This window comes from Homo sapiens, chromosome 19, assembly GCF_000001405.40.
Source record: "Homo sapiens chromosome 19, GRCh38.p14 Primary Assembly".
NCBI lineage: Eukaryota > Metazoa > Chordata > Mammalia > Primates > Hominidae > Homo > Homo sapiens.
The window spans coordinates 14,294,267-14,307,899 of NC_000019.10; the positions used below are offsets into that span (position 1 = coordinate 14,294,267).

A 13,633-nucleotide genomic window follows, 5' to 3' on the forward strand; every position below is an offset into this window, starting at 1 on the left:
AAATCCCTTTCCCCTTCCTTTCCTCCACTCTTTAGTCCCTCAATCAGGGTGGGCTGGTACGGTTGGGCAGGTTGGACACTGCACAAGGGGACACTGAGTGTGTTCAAACTAAGCTCCCGATTTCCATTGCTCCCTTACTCCATAGCACACTACAGACTAACCTCTCCTCTGCCTTACTGACACCAACTCTCTGCTATCAGGAGAGCCAATGATTTCAATAAAATACTTCAGTCCTGGTCACACCCCAATGCAGAGCTGAAGAAAGGAAGTCCAGTCGGGAATTTGGGGTCTTGAACAACCCAAGCCACAGCTCCTGTGGGAGCTTAGAGAGAGAGCAAACCTGGGCAGAAAGAACTTCTACAGAGGGCCGGGCGCGGTGGCTCATGCCTGTAATCCAGCACTTTGGGAGGCAGAGACGGGCGGATCACGAGGTCAGGAGATCGAGACCATCCTGGCTAACACAGTGAAACCCCGTCTCTACTAAAAATACAAAAACTTAGCCGGGCGTGGTGGTGGGCGCCTGTAGTTCCAGGTGTTCGGGAGACGGAGGCAGGAGAATGGCGTGAACCCGGGAGGAGGAGCTTGCAGTGAGCTGAGATCGCGCCACTGCACTCCAGCCTGGGTGACAGAGCGAGACTCCATCTCAAAAAAAAAGAACTTCTACAGGGGCCAAAGCTAGGGTCGAGGACCATAGAATGCCCTGGGGTACCCAGGGAGGGGCAGGGAATGATTATCAAAAGCCCCAAAGAAATCATGGGGCTGGTCAAGTTTGCTTCACGGACCCAATTCTACAGCCCACCATCTATACTCTTTGCCTAGGTAGCTCCTCCCACTGGGAGGTGGAGCCTATTTCCACACCCCTTGAATCTGGGTTGGTCTCGTGATCTCCTTTGGCCAATCAATGGATTGCAGCAGAAGTGAAGTCACTTCCCAATCTAGGCCTGAAGAAGTGGTGCATGTTTCTGCTCGATGTCTGGAAACCCTGCCCCTGTCAGGTGACCAAGCCCTAGCTAGCCTGCTGGAGGATGAGGGAAGAATCCTGTTGTCCTAGACCAGCCTACAGCCAGCCGGGCCCCAAATATACGAAAAGACCCAGCCTGAATAAATACAGTGTGCCTCTTGGACCCATAGACGTTGGTGGGTGAGCCCAGCCAGGGGCGGAAAAACTGCTCTGTAGCCTGCGAAGCCAAAATTAATGCTGATTGTCCTAAACTGCTGGATTTGAGCGTTGTTAGGCAGCTTTTTTTTTTTTTTTTTGACTCAGTCTCACTTTGTGGCCCAGGCTGGAATGTAGTGGTGCAATCTTGGCTCACTGCAACCTCTGCCTCCCGGATTCAAGCGATTCTCCTGCCTCGGCCTCCCGAGTAGCTGGGATTACAGACACCCGCCACCACGACTAATTTTTGTATTTTTAGTAGAGATGAGGTTTTGCCATGTTGGCCAGGTTGGTCTCAAACTCGTGGCCTCAAGTGATCCAGCTGCCTGGCCTCTCAAAGTGCTGGGATTACAGGCATGAGGCACTGTGCCTGGCCTTGTGTTAGACAGCTTAACTGGCAACAGGTAACTGACAAGGAGCCTGGCAGGCACAGGTGTGCATTGGTCAGCACGTCCCCTTGCCCACGAAGGAGCTAGACTCAAATCCCGAGGTCCCCAAAATTGATTGTCAACTCTTTAACTTCCTGAGGAATCCTTCCCCATTTTTCCTTTATTTGTTTCTTTTTTGTTTGTTTTTTGGCATGGCCTTCCAGTGAAATTCCCCATTTTTCCTTTTTCTTTCTTTTCTTTTTTTTTTTTTTTTGGACGGAGTCTCGCTTTGTTGCCCAGGCTGGATTGCAGTGGCGCGATCTCGGCTCACTGCAGCCTCTGCCTCCCAGGCTCAAGCGTTTCTCCTGCCTCAGCCTCCCGAATAGCTGGGATTACATGTACCACCATGCCCCACTAATTTTTGTATGTTTAATAGAGACGGTGTTCCACCGTGTTGGCCAGGCTGGTCTCTAACTCCTGACCTCAGGTGATCTGCCCGCCTTGGCCTCCCAAAGTGCTGGGATTACAAGCGTGAGCCACCGTGCCCAGCCCCCCATGTTTTCTTTCCTTGGTATCTCTCTGATTGCACCTCCTCTCCTCTCTCTTTCACTTCCGTCCAGCCACATCAGCCTCCTAGCTGATCTCCTCTATGCTAGTTCCCACCCCAGAGTCTTGGCACCCGCTGTTCCTCCTGTCTGGAACCTTCTTCCCCCAGATCTCTATGTGTATCCTCCGCTTTTACTCCTTCAGGTCTCTGTTCATGTGCGTGATCCTCTGAGGTGCCCGCCTTAACTTAGATAGATACACGTCTCCTTCCAGGCCCTCACCAATCTACTACTGCTCCCAATGGGAGCCACATCATGTCCAGCCTAGGACGCTAAAGTTGACCCAGGGCTCAGATGGGAGCAGAACAGCCCTCCCCTAAAACATTCCTTTTTTTTTTTCTTTTTTCTTTTTTCTTTTTCTTTTTTTTTTTGAGACAGAGTCTTGTTCTGTCACCCAGGCTGGAGTGCAGTGGCGCGATCTTGACTCGCTGCAACCCCTGCCTCCCAGGTTCCAGCAATTCTCCTGCCTCGGCCTCTCGAGTAGTTGGAATTACAGGCACCTGCCACCACAGCAGGCTAATTTTTGTATTTTTAGTAGAGATGGGGTTTCACCATGTTGGCCAGGCTAGTCTCGAACTCTTGACCTCGGGTGATCCGCCTGCCTGAGCCTCCCAAAGTGCTGGAATTACAGGTGTGAGCCACTGTGCCCGGCCACACAAAACCATTCCTCATCCACCTTTCCCCTAATGATTTTACTATCCATGGCTAATCATGTCCTAGATCCATGATTTCTTTCTTTCTTTCCTTTTTTTTTTTTTTTTTAAGAGACGGGGTTGGGGGGGGTCTCATTATGTTTCCCAGGCTGATCTCGAACTGCTGGCCTGAAGCGATCCTCCCACCTTGCCCTCCCAAAGTTCTGGGATTACAGGCGTGAGCCACGGTGCCCGGCCTAGAGCCATGATTTCATTACAAGTTGCAAAATACTGCATTCCCAGTTTATCATGGCATTTTCCCATTTATACATCTGTCGTCTCCAACAATCTGGAAAGCCCTCAACAGCAGAGTCAGAGCCACAGGGTACCAAGGAAACATTTGCTGAAAGAATTTGAATTCAGGAGATGGAGCCTATTGGGGGAAAAAACCCAAACAAACAGGTATTTGTTGTTTAGGGCAAAGAAACATGGCACCATTTCTCCTGCTTCTAGGATCAAAGGCTGTTCCACTCCAATCTCCGCTGGATGCCAAGCCTGGCCAAAAGTCCCAGGACATGGCCTGGCCCCCTACCCGTCAACGCTTTCCCTCTTGTGACACCCCATGGAGTCACCCTATGGACTCAGGACCAATGGGGTTTTGGGGAGAAGACAGATCGTCTGTCTACAGGTATCAACATTGCTTTCCTTCTCAAAAATTTTTTTATTTTAAACCTCCCCACAATTCAAATGTTTCTCTTATTATCTTCTGCCGAGGGAAAAAAATTAATAACATGGCACAATATAAAATACTAAATTAAAGGCATTTTGGAACCAGCAATTATTTCATAAGCTTCTCTTTTATTGCCACGCTAATGTGCCTAATTGCTATCTTAATGAGGACATTAATTTCTGGCTAATGTGATGTTATTATAGAAATTGCAGTCAATCTCTTAAAAGGAGGAAAGTGCCAGAAAGCCGTCCCACGAGGCAGAGGCTTTGGTCACCCCGGGGCTGAGGGGCAAAGGGGAGGGGAGGAGACGGTGCTGGAACCCGGGCCAAGACTGGGGGAAGGATGCGGCTGCTGGGAGCCAGAGAGGGGGAAGGCAGGGGACTTGTGCTGGGACTAAAACCTCCCAGGGAGGCCCTGATCTGAAAGCCAGCTGTTGCCGTGCCCGGGGATCTAGGAGATGAAACTGAATAGGGGAAAGTGTTACAGCAATAATAAAACCTGACATCAGTGGCAGGCACGGTTGAGGCATTTTCTATGCTAATCCTTGCAATAGCTCTATAAAATAGATAGTGTCATTTCCCCCATTTTATAGACGGGGGAACAGAGAGGTTGAGTAATTTACCCAAGGTCACACAGCTATTACATGATAGAGATGGGATTTGAACCCAGCCCGTCTGGCTTAACTGCTGAGCTATGCTGCCTTTCAGCCAGCACCCTGAAACCATCGATAATAATTTCAAACATTTATTGAGGGCTTACTATGCACCGGCTGTGAGTCAAGCCTTTTGCACACAGCATCTCTGGGTGGGCTCCATCTTGGAGAAAGAGGTGCAGCTACAGCCACATCTGAGCACTCCTTAATATACAGGGAGGACGAGGCAAGGCTCAAAGCTCGGGGGCTGGTGTTGCACCTCCCTCCCCACACAGGAACAGGAAATCCATTGTAGGTAGAGAGACTTCAGGGCCCAGAGAGGAGAAGGTTATTCCCTCTGAGTTGCACCTTATCACAGGTTACTGTGGTGGTCAGGGTAGGTTTTGAAGGCAAATGGTCTGGGTTAGAATTCTAGCTTTTCCCATTTGGCGAGTGGCCGACCCTCTCTGCACCTCAATTTCCTCATTTAAAGATTGGGGCTATGGGAGGCCGAGGTGGGCAGATCATTTGAGGTCAGGAATTCGAAATCAACCTGGCCAACGTGGTGAAACCCTGTCTCTACTAAAAATACAAAAAAGAAAATGAGCCAATCATGGTGGCCTGTGCCTGTTATCCCAGTTACTCAGGAGGCAGAGGCAGGAGAATCACTTGAACCCAGGAGGCGAAGGTTGCAGTGAGCTGGGATCGTGCCACTGCACTCCAGCCTGGGCAACAGAGTGAGACTCCATCTAAATAAATAAATAAGACTGGGGCTAACAATGGAACCTACCTCCAAGGGCTGTTATAAGAATTGAGCAACTGGTTGGGCGTGGTGGCTCGCACCTATAATCCCAGCACTTTGGGAGGCTGAGATGGGAGGATTGCTTGAGCCCAGGAGTTTGAGACTGGCCTGGGCAATATAGCAAGACTCCATCTCTACAGAAAAAAATATTAAAAATTAGCCGGGCATGGTAGCATGCACCTGCAGTCCCAGCTACTTGGGAGGCTGAGATGGGAGGATCGCCTAAGTCCAGAAGTTTGAGACCAGCCTGGGCAACATAGCAAGACCCCATCTCTACATAAACGTATAACAAGCTGAGCATGGTGGCGCCCCCATGTCTGTAGTCCCAGCTACTCCAGAGGCTAAGGCGAGAGGATCTGCACTGCAGCCTGGGGGACAGAGCAAGACTCCGTCCCTAAAAAATCCAAAAACAAAATAAAAGACAAACTGTGTATTAGAACAAGGACACGCCAGCTGCTGTAACGAGCAACCTGTAGATCCCAGTGGCTTAATGCACTAAAGGCTACTTTCTCACTCACATCACGCTGCCGCACCTGGGAACCAGACGCCGGCTATATTGTGGCTTCACCTTCTTCCAGTGACTCAGAGGCCCCACAAGACCCTCTTTGTCCAGCCAGCAGATGCAAAGGAAGAATTAGAAGGTGCAGGTGGGAGGTGTTAAAAGCCTGAATGTAGCACACCTCACTTCCATTCGCATCCCACAGAAGCAGATAATGATAAAGGTTAGGAAATAGGTTTGGAGTCTGGGAAACATGGGGAGACCCCATATTTACAAAGAAGAAAACTTTTTTAAAATTATATGGTTAATGGTGGCGCAAGCCTGTTGTCCCAGCTACTCAGGAGGCCAAGGTAGGAGTGAGGTAGGAGGCTGGAAGGGACTCTGGAGGTGAAGTTCAGACACTGGACCAAATTGATGGCCAGATGCGGTGGTTCACACTTGTAATCCCAGCACTTTGGGAGGCCAAGGTGGGTGGATCACCTGAGGTCAGGAGTTCGAGACCAGCCTGGCCAACATGGTGAAACCCCGTCTCTACTAATAATACAAAGATTAGCCGGGTGTGGTGGCAGGCGCCTCTAATCCCAGCTACTCGAGAGGCTGAGGCAGGAGAATCGCTTGAACCTGGGAAGCAGAGGTTGCAGTGAGCCGAGATCATGCCACTGTACTCCAGCCTGGGAGACAAGAGTAAAACTCCGTCTCCAAAAACAAACAAAGAACTAGCTAAAGCAGGTGTGTGTAGGTGTGTGTGTGTGTGTGTGTGTGTGTGTGTGTAGCACCTCCCCATAAGACACGCCCACCAGTGTGCCATGTCGGTTTACGATTACCATGGCAACACCTGGAATTCCCCGCCCCTTTCCATGGCAACTACCCAACCACCTGGAAGTTACCACTCTCATCCTAGAAATTTCTACATAAACTGCCCCTTAATTTGCATATAATTAAAAATGGATATAAATATGAGTGAATACAGCAGCACCTCTGAGCTGCTACTCTGGGCACACTGCCTTTTGGGTAGCCCTGATTCTTCACTAAATTTTCTGTTTAACACCACCAGCTCTCCCTTGAATTCCTTTTTGGGTGAATCTAAGAACCCTCCAGGGCTAAGCCCTAATTTTTTTTTTTTTCTTCAGACTGAATCTCGCTCTGTAGCTCAGGCTGCTGGAGTGTAGTGGTTCGATCTCAGCTCACTGCAACCTCTGCCTCCTGGGTTCAAGCAATTCTCCTGCCTCAGCCTCCCCGAGTAGCTGGGATTACAGGCACATGCCATCAAGCCCAGATAATTTTTGTATTTTTAGTAGAGATGGGATATTGCCATGTTGGCCAGGCTGGTCTTGAACTCCTGACCTCAGGTGATCCACCCACCATGGCCTCCTGAGGTGCTGGGATTTCAGGCATTAGCCGCTGCACCTGGCTTTTTTTTTTTTTTTTTTTTGAGAAGGGGTCTTCGACACCCAGGCTGGAATGCAGAGGTGCAGTCTCGACTCTCTGCAGCCTCGACCTCTGGGTGTCAGATGATCCTCCCATTTCAACCTCCCAAGTAGCCAGGAGTACAGGTCTGTGCCACTACACCCGCCTAATTTTTGTAATTTTTGTAGAGATGGGATCTTGCTATGTTGCCCAGGCTGGTATCGAACTCCTGGGTCCAAATGATCCACCCGCCTCGCATCCCAAGGTGCTGGGACTACAGGCATGAGTCACCCACCCAGCCTAAGCCCCAATTTTGGGGGCCTGCTTATTCCTGCATCAGGAGGAGCACTGGAGGCCAGGAGTTTGAGACCCCAACCTGGGAAACATATTGAGACCTTATCTCTACAAAAAAAGAAAAAGAAAAAAATTAGCTGGGTGTGGTGGCACACACCTGTGTCCCAGCTACTCAGGAGGCTGAGGTGGGAGGATCACTTGAGCCCAGGAGGTCAAAGCTGCAGTGAGCCATGATCATGCCACTGCACTCCAGCTTGGGTGACAGAGTGAGACCCCCACCTCTAAAAATAAAAATAGAGCAAATAGGTCTGGGCTGGAGGCAGCCCAAGGGTCCCCTGGTTTCATCACTTTCCGTCCATCTTCCCAAACGCATCACCTTGGCAAGCACACAGCAGGCAGGCCAGACAGATGCGCCCGGTAAAAATACAAGAAGCTAACTGGGCACGGTGGCTCACACCTATAATCCCAGCACTTTGGGAGGCTGAGGTGGGTGGATCATGAGGTCAGGAGTTCGAGACTAGCCTGGCCAACATGGTGAAACCCCATCTTTACTAAAAATACAAAAACACAAAAATTAGCTGGGCGTGGTGGTGTGTGCCTCTAATCCCAGCTACTCGGGAGGCTGACACAGGAGAACTGGTTGAACCCAGGAGGCGGAGGTTGTAGTGAGCCGAGATCGCACCACTGCACTCCCAGCCTGGGCGACAGAGTGAGACCCCATGTCTACAAAAAATAATTCTAAAAATTAGTCGTGTGTGGTGTCGTGCAACTGTAGTCCCAACTACTCAGGGGGCTGAGGTGGGAGGATCACTTGAACCCAGGAGTTTGAGGCTGCAGTGAGCTGTGATCACACCAGTGCACTCCTGCCTGGGCAACAGAGAGAGATCTCATCTCTAAAAAAAGAAAAAAGGAGCCAGGCACGGTGGCTCACAGCTGAAGTCCCAGCACTTTGGGTGGCCGAGCTGGGTGGATCACCTGAGGTCAGGAGTTCGAGACCAGCCTGGCTACATGGTGAAACTCCGTCTCTACTAAAAATACAAAAAAAAAGTAGCCAGGTGTGGTGGCACATGCCTGTAGTCCCAGCTACTCAGGAGGCTGAGGCAGGAGAATGGCATGAACCCGGGAGGTGGAGGTTGCAGTGAGCTGAGATCAAGCCACTGCACTCCAGCCTGGGCGACAGAGCAAGACTCTGTCAAGAAAAAGAAAGGGAAAGGAAAGGAAGGGAAAGGAAGGGGAGGGGAGAGGACAGGAGGGGATGGGAGTGGAGGGGAGGGGAGGGGAGGGGGAGAGAAAGAAAAGAAAGAAAGAAAGGAAAGGGAAGGAAGAAAAGAGAGAGACAGAAGGAAAGCAAAAGAAAGAGAAAGAATAGTAATAAAAGGGACCAGGTGTCTGAAGGCTGAGTTGCAGGGTGCCCCATTGCTGAAGAACTGCTTCCAGAATGCAGCTGTGTAAGTCTGCCAGTGTGGCCAGTGTGGCTGGGTGCAAGCTCTTCAGGGTCCCAGGCTACACACAAGCGATTTTACTTTATTTCTAAAATGGACTAACTCGGTTTGAAACTTAACCCAACTCACTCACAAAAGGAATGTTCTCTCATGGCCATGAATGCAAAACCACCACGAGTGGCCACAAACAAGTATAAAATAGACAAAATGAGGCTTGGTGCAGTAGCCCATGCCTATAATCCCAGCACTCGGGGAGGCTGAGGGTGGAGGATCGCTTGAGCTCAGGAGTTCAAGCCCAGCCAGGGCAACATAGCAAAACCCCATCTCTACAAAAATTAGCCGGGCATGGTGGCATGTACCTGTAGTCCCAGCTACTTGAGAGGCTGAGGTGGGAGGATCACCTGAGCCTAAGAGACAGAGGTTGCAGTGAGCTGAGATTGTGCCACCACACTCCAGCCTGGGTGACAGAGCCGAGACTTTGTCTCAAAAAAAAAAGAAATGAAAAATAAAAATAATGAAAGTGCAAAGAGTATCATGACATTCTCCCTATACTTTGTCAAGACTGTAAGGCTGGGACCAGCTCTTTTGGCTAAAAAAAAAAAAAAAAAAAAAAAAAATTGGATTGGGAAGCATCGGAGGGGCGTGAAAATCATGCTAGCTAGCACCTCTCTAAGAATTGCTTTTTTTTTTTTTTTTTTTGAGACAGAGTCTCACTCTGTCACCCAGGCTGGAGTGAAATAGTGCAATCTCCTTGCAACCTTCACTTTCTAGATTCAAGCAATTCTCCTGCCTCAGCCTCGTAAGTAGCTGAGATTACAGGCATGTGCCACCACGCCTCACTAATTCTTGTATTTTTAGTAGAGGGGGTTTCACCATGTTGGCGAAACTGGTCTTAAACCCCTGACCTCAGGTGATCCCCCTGCCTCGGCGTCTCAAAGTGCTGGGATTACAGGTGTGAGCCACCAGGCCCAGCCTGAGACTTGCTTTTTTTGAGGGATTAGAGGGATTGATAGTTCAGTAAAGGAAGTCACTTTCTCACTAGTGATTCTGTGGTACTGAACCCAGGGCCTGGTACCCAGGGGGCAAGTGGGCGAGTGGATGTTCCGGGTCACCCAGCCAGCCAGGGGAGGAGCTGATTCTAGATCTTCCCTTATCTCTCTGCTGTTTAAACCCTTTTTGCTCCTTCCAATGGGAAACAGGGAAGGGGGAGGCTGTGGGATTGGAACAGAAAGCGTCCTGGACTCCAGAGGCCCTGAGCAGCCATTCCCCTCCCTGGGCCTCAGTTTTCTCATCTATAAAATGGGTAGCTGCAGACTAGAGAGACAATTTGTAAAGTTCTGCTGTGTTAGTCAGGGTTCTCCAGAGAAACAGAATCCACAGGCGTGAGAGAAACACACAAAGAGAGAGACAGAGAGAGACTTATTTGTTTTTTAGAGGCAGTGTCTCTTTTTCTTTTTTTCCTTTTTTTTTTTTTTTGAGACGGAATTTCGCTGTGTCACCCAGGCTGGAGCGCAATGGCGCGATCTGGGCTCACTGCAACCTCTGCCTCGTGGGTTCAAGCAATTCTCCTGCTTCAGCCTCCCAAGTAGCTGGGATTAAAGGCACACGCTACCATGCCCAACTAATTTTTGTATTTTTAGTAGAGACAGGGTTTCACCATGTTGGCCAGGCTGGTCTCGAACTCCTGATCTCAGGTGATCTGCCTGCCTCGGCCTCCTAAAGTGGTGGCTCATGCCTGGCCTTCATTTTCTTTCTAATTTTTTTTTTAAATTTTAATTAGACAGGATCTCCCTCTGTCACCCATGCTGGAGTGCAGTGGTGCAATCACAGCGCACTGCAACCTCCACCTCCTGGCCTCAAGCAATCAATCCTCCCACCTCATCCTCCCAAAGTGTTGGGATTACAGACATGAGCCACCGCACCTGGTGGATTTCTTTTCTTAGAAAAGCAATACATGCTCATGATAAAACGCAAGGAATTCAAACCCTATCGGAGGGGGAGCATATTGAATGGAGTCTCTCTCTCAGCTCCTCCCTTCCCCCTAATATAGCTCTGCTAAGAGCTGCCCGGTGTATCCGCCCTGGCATTTTCTATTTGCACACCAGAGTCGATACGAATATCCTCCTTTTACTTTCACAAATAGGGATCGTTGCAGGCACACAGTTCCATGATAGCTTTTTCCAGTTAATTATATACTGTGGACACCTTCCCCAAATCAGCACATCCAGACCTGCCTCATTCTGCTTAATGACTGCAGAGTATTGGAAGATGTGCCTTAAGAGAGAGGGAGAGAGAAAATAAAAAATGATATGTTTGGAATGTTCCACCTGGTAGTCCCAGATCTGGGTTAATGGAATGGGAGATCACACTCCAGTTCCTCCCCATCTCTTCTGGCTTGTTTTCTGTTTGTTTGTTTTGTTGTTGTTGTTGTTTTTTGAGGTGGAGTTTAGCTCTTGTCGCCCAGGCTGGAGTGCAGTGGCGTGATACCGGCTCACTGCAACCTCTGCCTCCTGGATTCCAGCGATTCTCCTGCCTCAGCCGCCCGAGTAGCTGGGCCTGTAGGTGCACCACCACACCCAGCTAATTTTTGTATTTTTAGTAGAGATGGGGTTTCACCACATTGGCCAGATTGGTCTTGAACTCTTGACCTTAGGTAATCTGCCTGCCTCGGCTTCCCAAAGTGCTGACAGGCGTGAGCCACTGCGCCCGACCTCTTCTGGCTTTTCTATGTCTTGGGAACCAACACAGTTGTAGTCTCTGGCCAGCTCGATTTGAGTGGGACAGACAGGCTTGTGTCTGGGTCAGGGTGGAGGTGCCAAGCTCCTGTTCCAGCCATCAGCAGTCTGTGGAGAAAAAAAAAAAAAGCCAAACTGAACCCCAGAGCCAAGTGCATTTCTTGGGACATAGTTTATTGGGACTGGGACCTGCTGTGAGGCTGTGCAGACCTCATTGTCGAGGGCAGCTGCCCTGAGAGAACAGGCTAGGAAGATGCAGCAGGGCAAATCTATTTCCATCCTGAGTGGTCACGTGCTTCAGCGGGTCAGCCCTGGTTGGTCCAAATCCATCTAATGCTCCATTCCCTCCCTCGTAATTGACTTAGGGATGGCCCACCACCTGTTTTTGTAAATAAAGTTTTATTGGCACACAATTGTGCTCATCTGTTTGCATGTCGTTTGGGGCAGCTTTCACTCAAGGACAGAACCAAATACAGATGGTCCCAACTTAACGATGGTTTAACTGACAATGTTTCAACTTTACAATGGTGTGAAAGTGATACACATTTGGTAGAAACCCTACTTCGGGGACCCATACATTGTGTTTTTCACGTTCAGTATAGTATTCAAAGAATTATGTGAGATATTCAACACTTTATTTTAAAATAGGCTTTGTGTTTGATGATTTTGCCCAACCGTGGGCTAATGTTAAGTGTTCTGAGCATGTTTAAGGTAAGTTAGGCTAAGCTGTGATGTTCACTAGGTTAGGTGTATTCCATGTATTTTCAACTTGTGACTCTTTCCTTTCTCCTTTTTCCTTTCCTTTACCTTTTCCCTTCCTTCCTCTCTCCTCCCCTTCCCTCCCCTTCTCTTTTCTTCCTTTTGAAACAGAATTTTGCTCCGTCACCCAAGGCTAGAGTGCAGTAGTTCCATCACAGCTCACTGCAGACTTGAACTCCCAGCTAAAGCGATCCTTCTACCTCAGCCTCCCAAGTAGCTGGGTCTACAGGCATGTGTCACCATACCTGGCTAATTTTTAATTTTTTTGGTAGAGATGGGGTCTCACTATGTTGCCCAGGCTGATAAACTCCAGGGCACAAGTGATCCTCCCACTTCAGCGATGTTTTCAGTTTACAGTGGGTTTATTGGAACATAGTTCCATTGTAAGTCAAGGAAAATCGGTAGTTGCAACAGAGAATGTCTGGCTTGCAAAGCTGAAAGTACTTACTATCTGGTCCTTTACAGAAAGATGTTGCTGAGCCCTGGGCTAGTGTATACTAACAGCATGTGCTACCTACACCTCTCTGCCTGGGGGCTTTCTCCTGGCCCACATGTGGGACAGGTCAGAAGTGCCCAGGGCACAGCCCTCAGTGTAGGATGGGTGGTAACTGTCAAATACCTCAGCTTTGTCCGGGTGGTGCGGTGGCTTACGCCTGTAAACCCCCCACTTTGGGAGGCCGAGGTGGGTGGATTACTTGAGGTCAGGAGTTCAAGACCAGCCTGGCCAACATGGCGAAACCCTGTCTCTACTAAAAATACAAAAATTAGCAGGGCGTGGTGGTGGGCACCCGTAATCCCAGCTACTCGGGAGCCTGAGGCAGGAGAATGGCTTGAACCCGGGAGGCAGAGGTTGCAGTGAGCTGACATCACACCACTGCACTCCAGCCTGGGCAACAGAGTGAGACTCCGTCTCAAACAAAACAAAACAAAACAAAACAAAACAAAACCCCAGCTCCCTCTCCACTTGGGTGGGATGTCTCCAAGGTGCATGTGTCACACAGTTTTCACAGCAAGCCCCAGTGGGATTGGGACCCAGCGGCTCTCAGCAGTAACTACTTATTTATACCTTGCATGGGCTGTTCTCATGTTCCTGTCTCATTTTTCTTCTCCCCTATCAGTGATTCCTGGAATCACTCAGTCTTAGTCTGGTAGGGCTAACAAAATATCACAAAACAACACTAAATTTCATGCAGTTCTGGAAACTGGGAAGTCCAAGATCACGGTGTCAGCCAATTCAGTTCTTGGTGAGGGCTCACTTCCTTGCTTGTGTACAGCCGCCTTCTCAATGCATCCTCCTGTGGCCTTTCCTCAGAGTGCACACGGGGAAAAAGAGTGGGCTCTGTGTTGTCTCTTCTTCTAAGGACACCAATCCTATTGAACAAGGGCCCCACCCTTATGACCTCGATTAACCTTAATTACCTCTATCTAATTACCTAAAGGCTCCATCTCTAAATACAGCCACACTAGGGGTTAGGACTTTAACATGTGAATTTGGAGGGGCATGCACAGTTCAGTTCCATCCCAGATAAACTGCTTGCACTCAAATTCTTACTCCTGGATCGACTTCTGGGAG

General features: G+C 49.3%; 1 long non-coding RNA gene across 1 annotated transcript in view, besides 2 other annotated features; it reads right to left on the bottom strand.

Annotated features, from left to right (window-relative positions):
* Positions 822-901: a silencer, noted in NCBI's record as "silent region_10242". NCBI's record gives its function as "represses an Ori minimal core promoter by ATAC-STARR-seq in GM12878 lymphoblastoid cells {active_cell/tissue: GM12878}" and the evidence as "EXISTENCE:reporter gene assay evidence [ECO:0000049][PMID:35858748]".
* Positions 3,807-4,306: an enhancer, noted in NCBI's record as "H3K4me1 hESC enhancer chr19:14408885-14409384 (GRCh37/hg19 assembly coordinates)". NCBI's record gives its function as "activates a minimal SCP1, AML or CMV promoter by ChIP-STARR-seq in primed H9 embryonic stem cells {active_cell/tissue: H9 hESC(primed)}" and the evidence as "EXISTENCE:reporter gene assay evidence [ECO:0000049][PMID:30033119]".
* The window catches only part of LINC01841 (long intergenic non-protein coding RNA 1841), a 58,533-nt gene continuing 56,091 nt past the window's right edge, over positions 11,192-13,633 (bottom strand). Inside the window, exon 4 of the long non-coding RNA NR_134908.1 lies at positions 11,192-11,409. This is a non-coding gene — a long non-coding RNA (long intergenic non-protein coding RNA 1841). The remainder of the gene's footprint in view (positions 11,410-13,633) is intronic.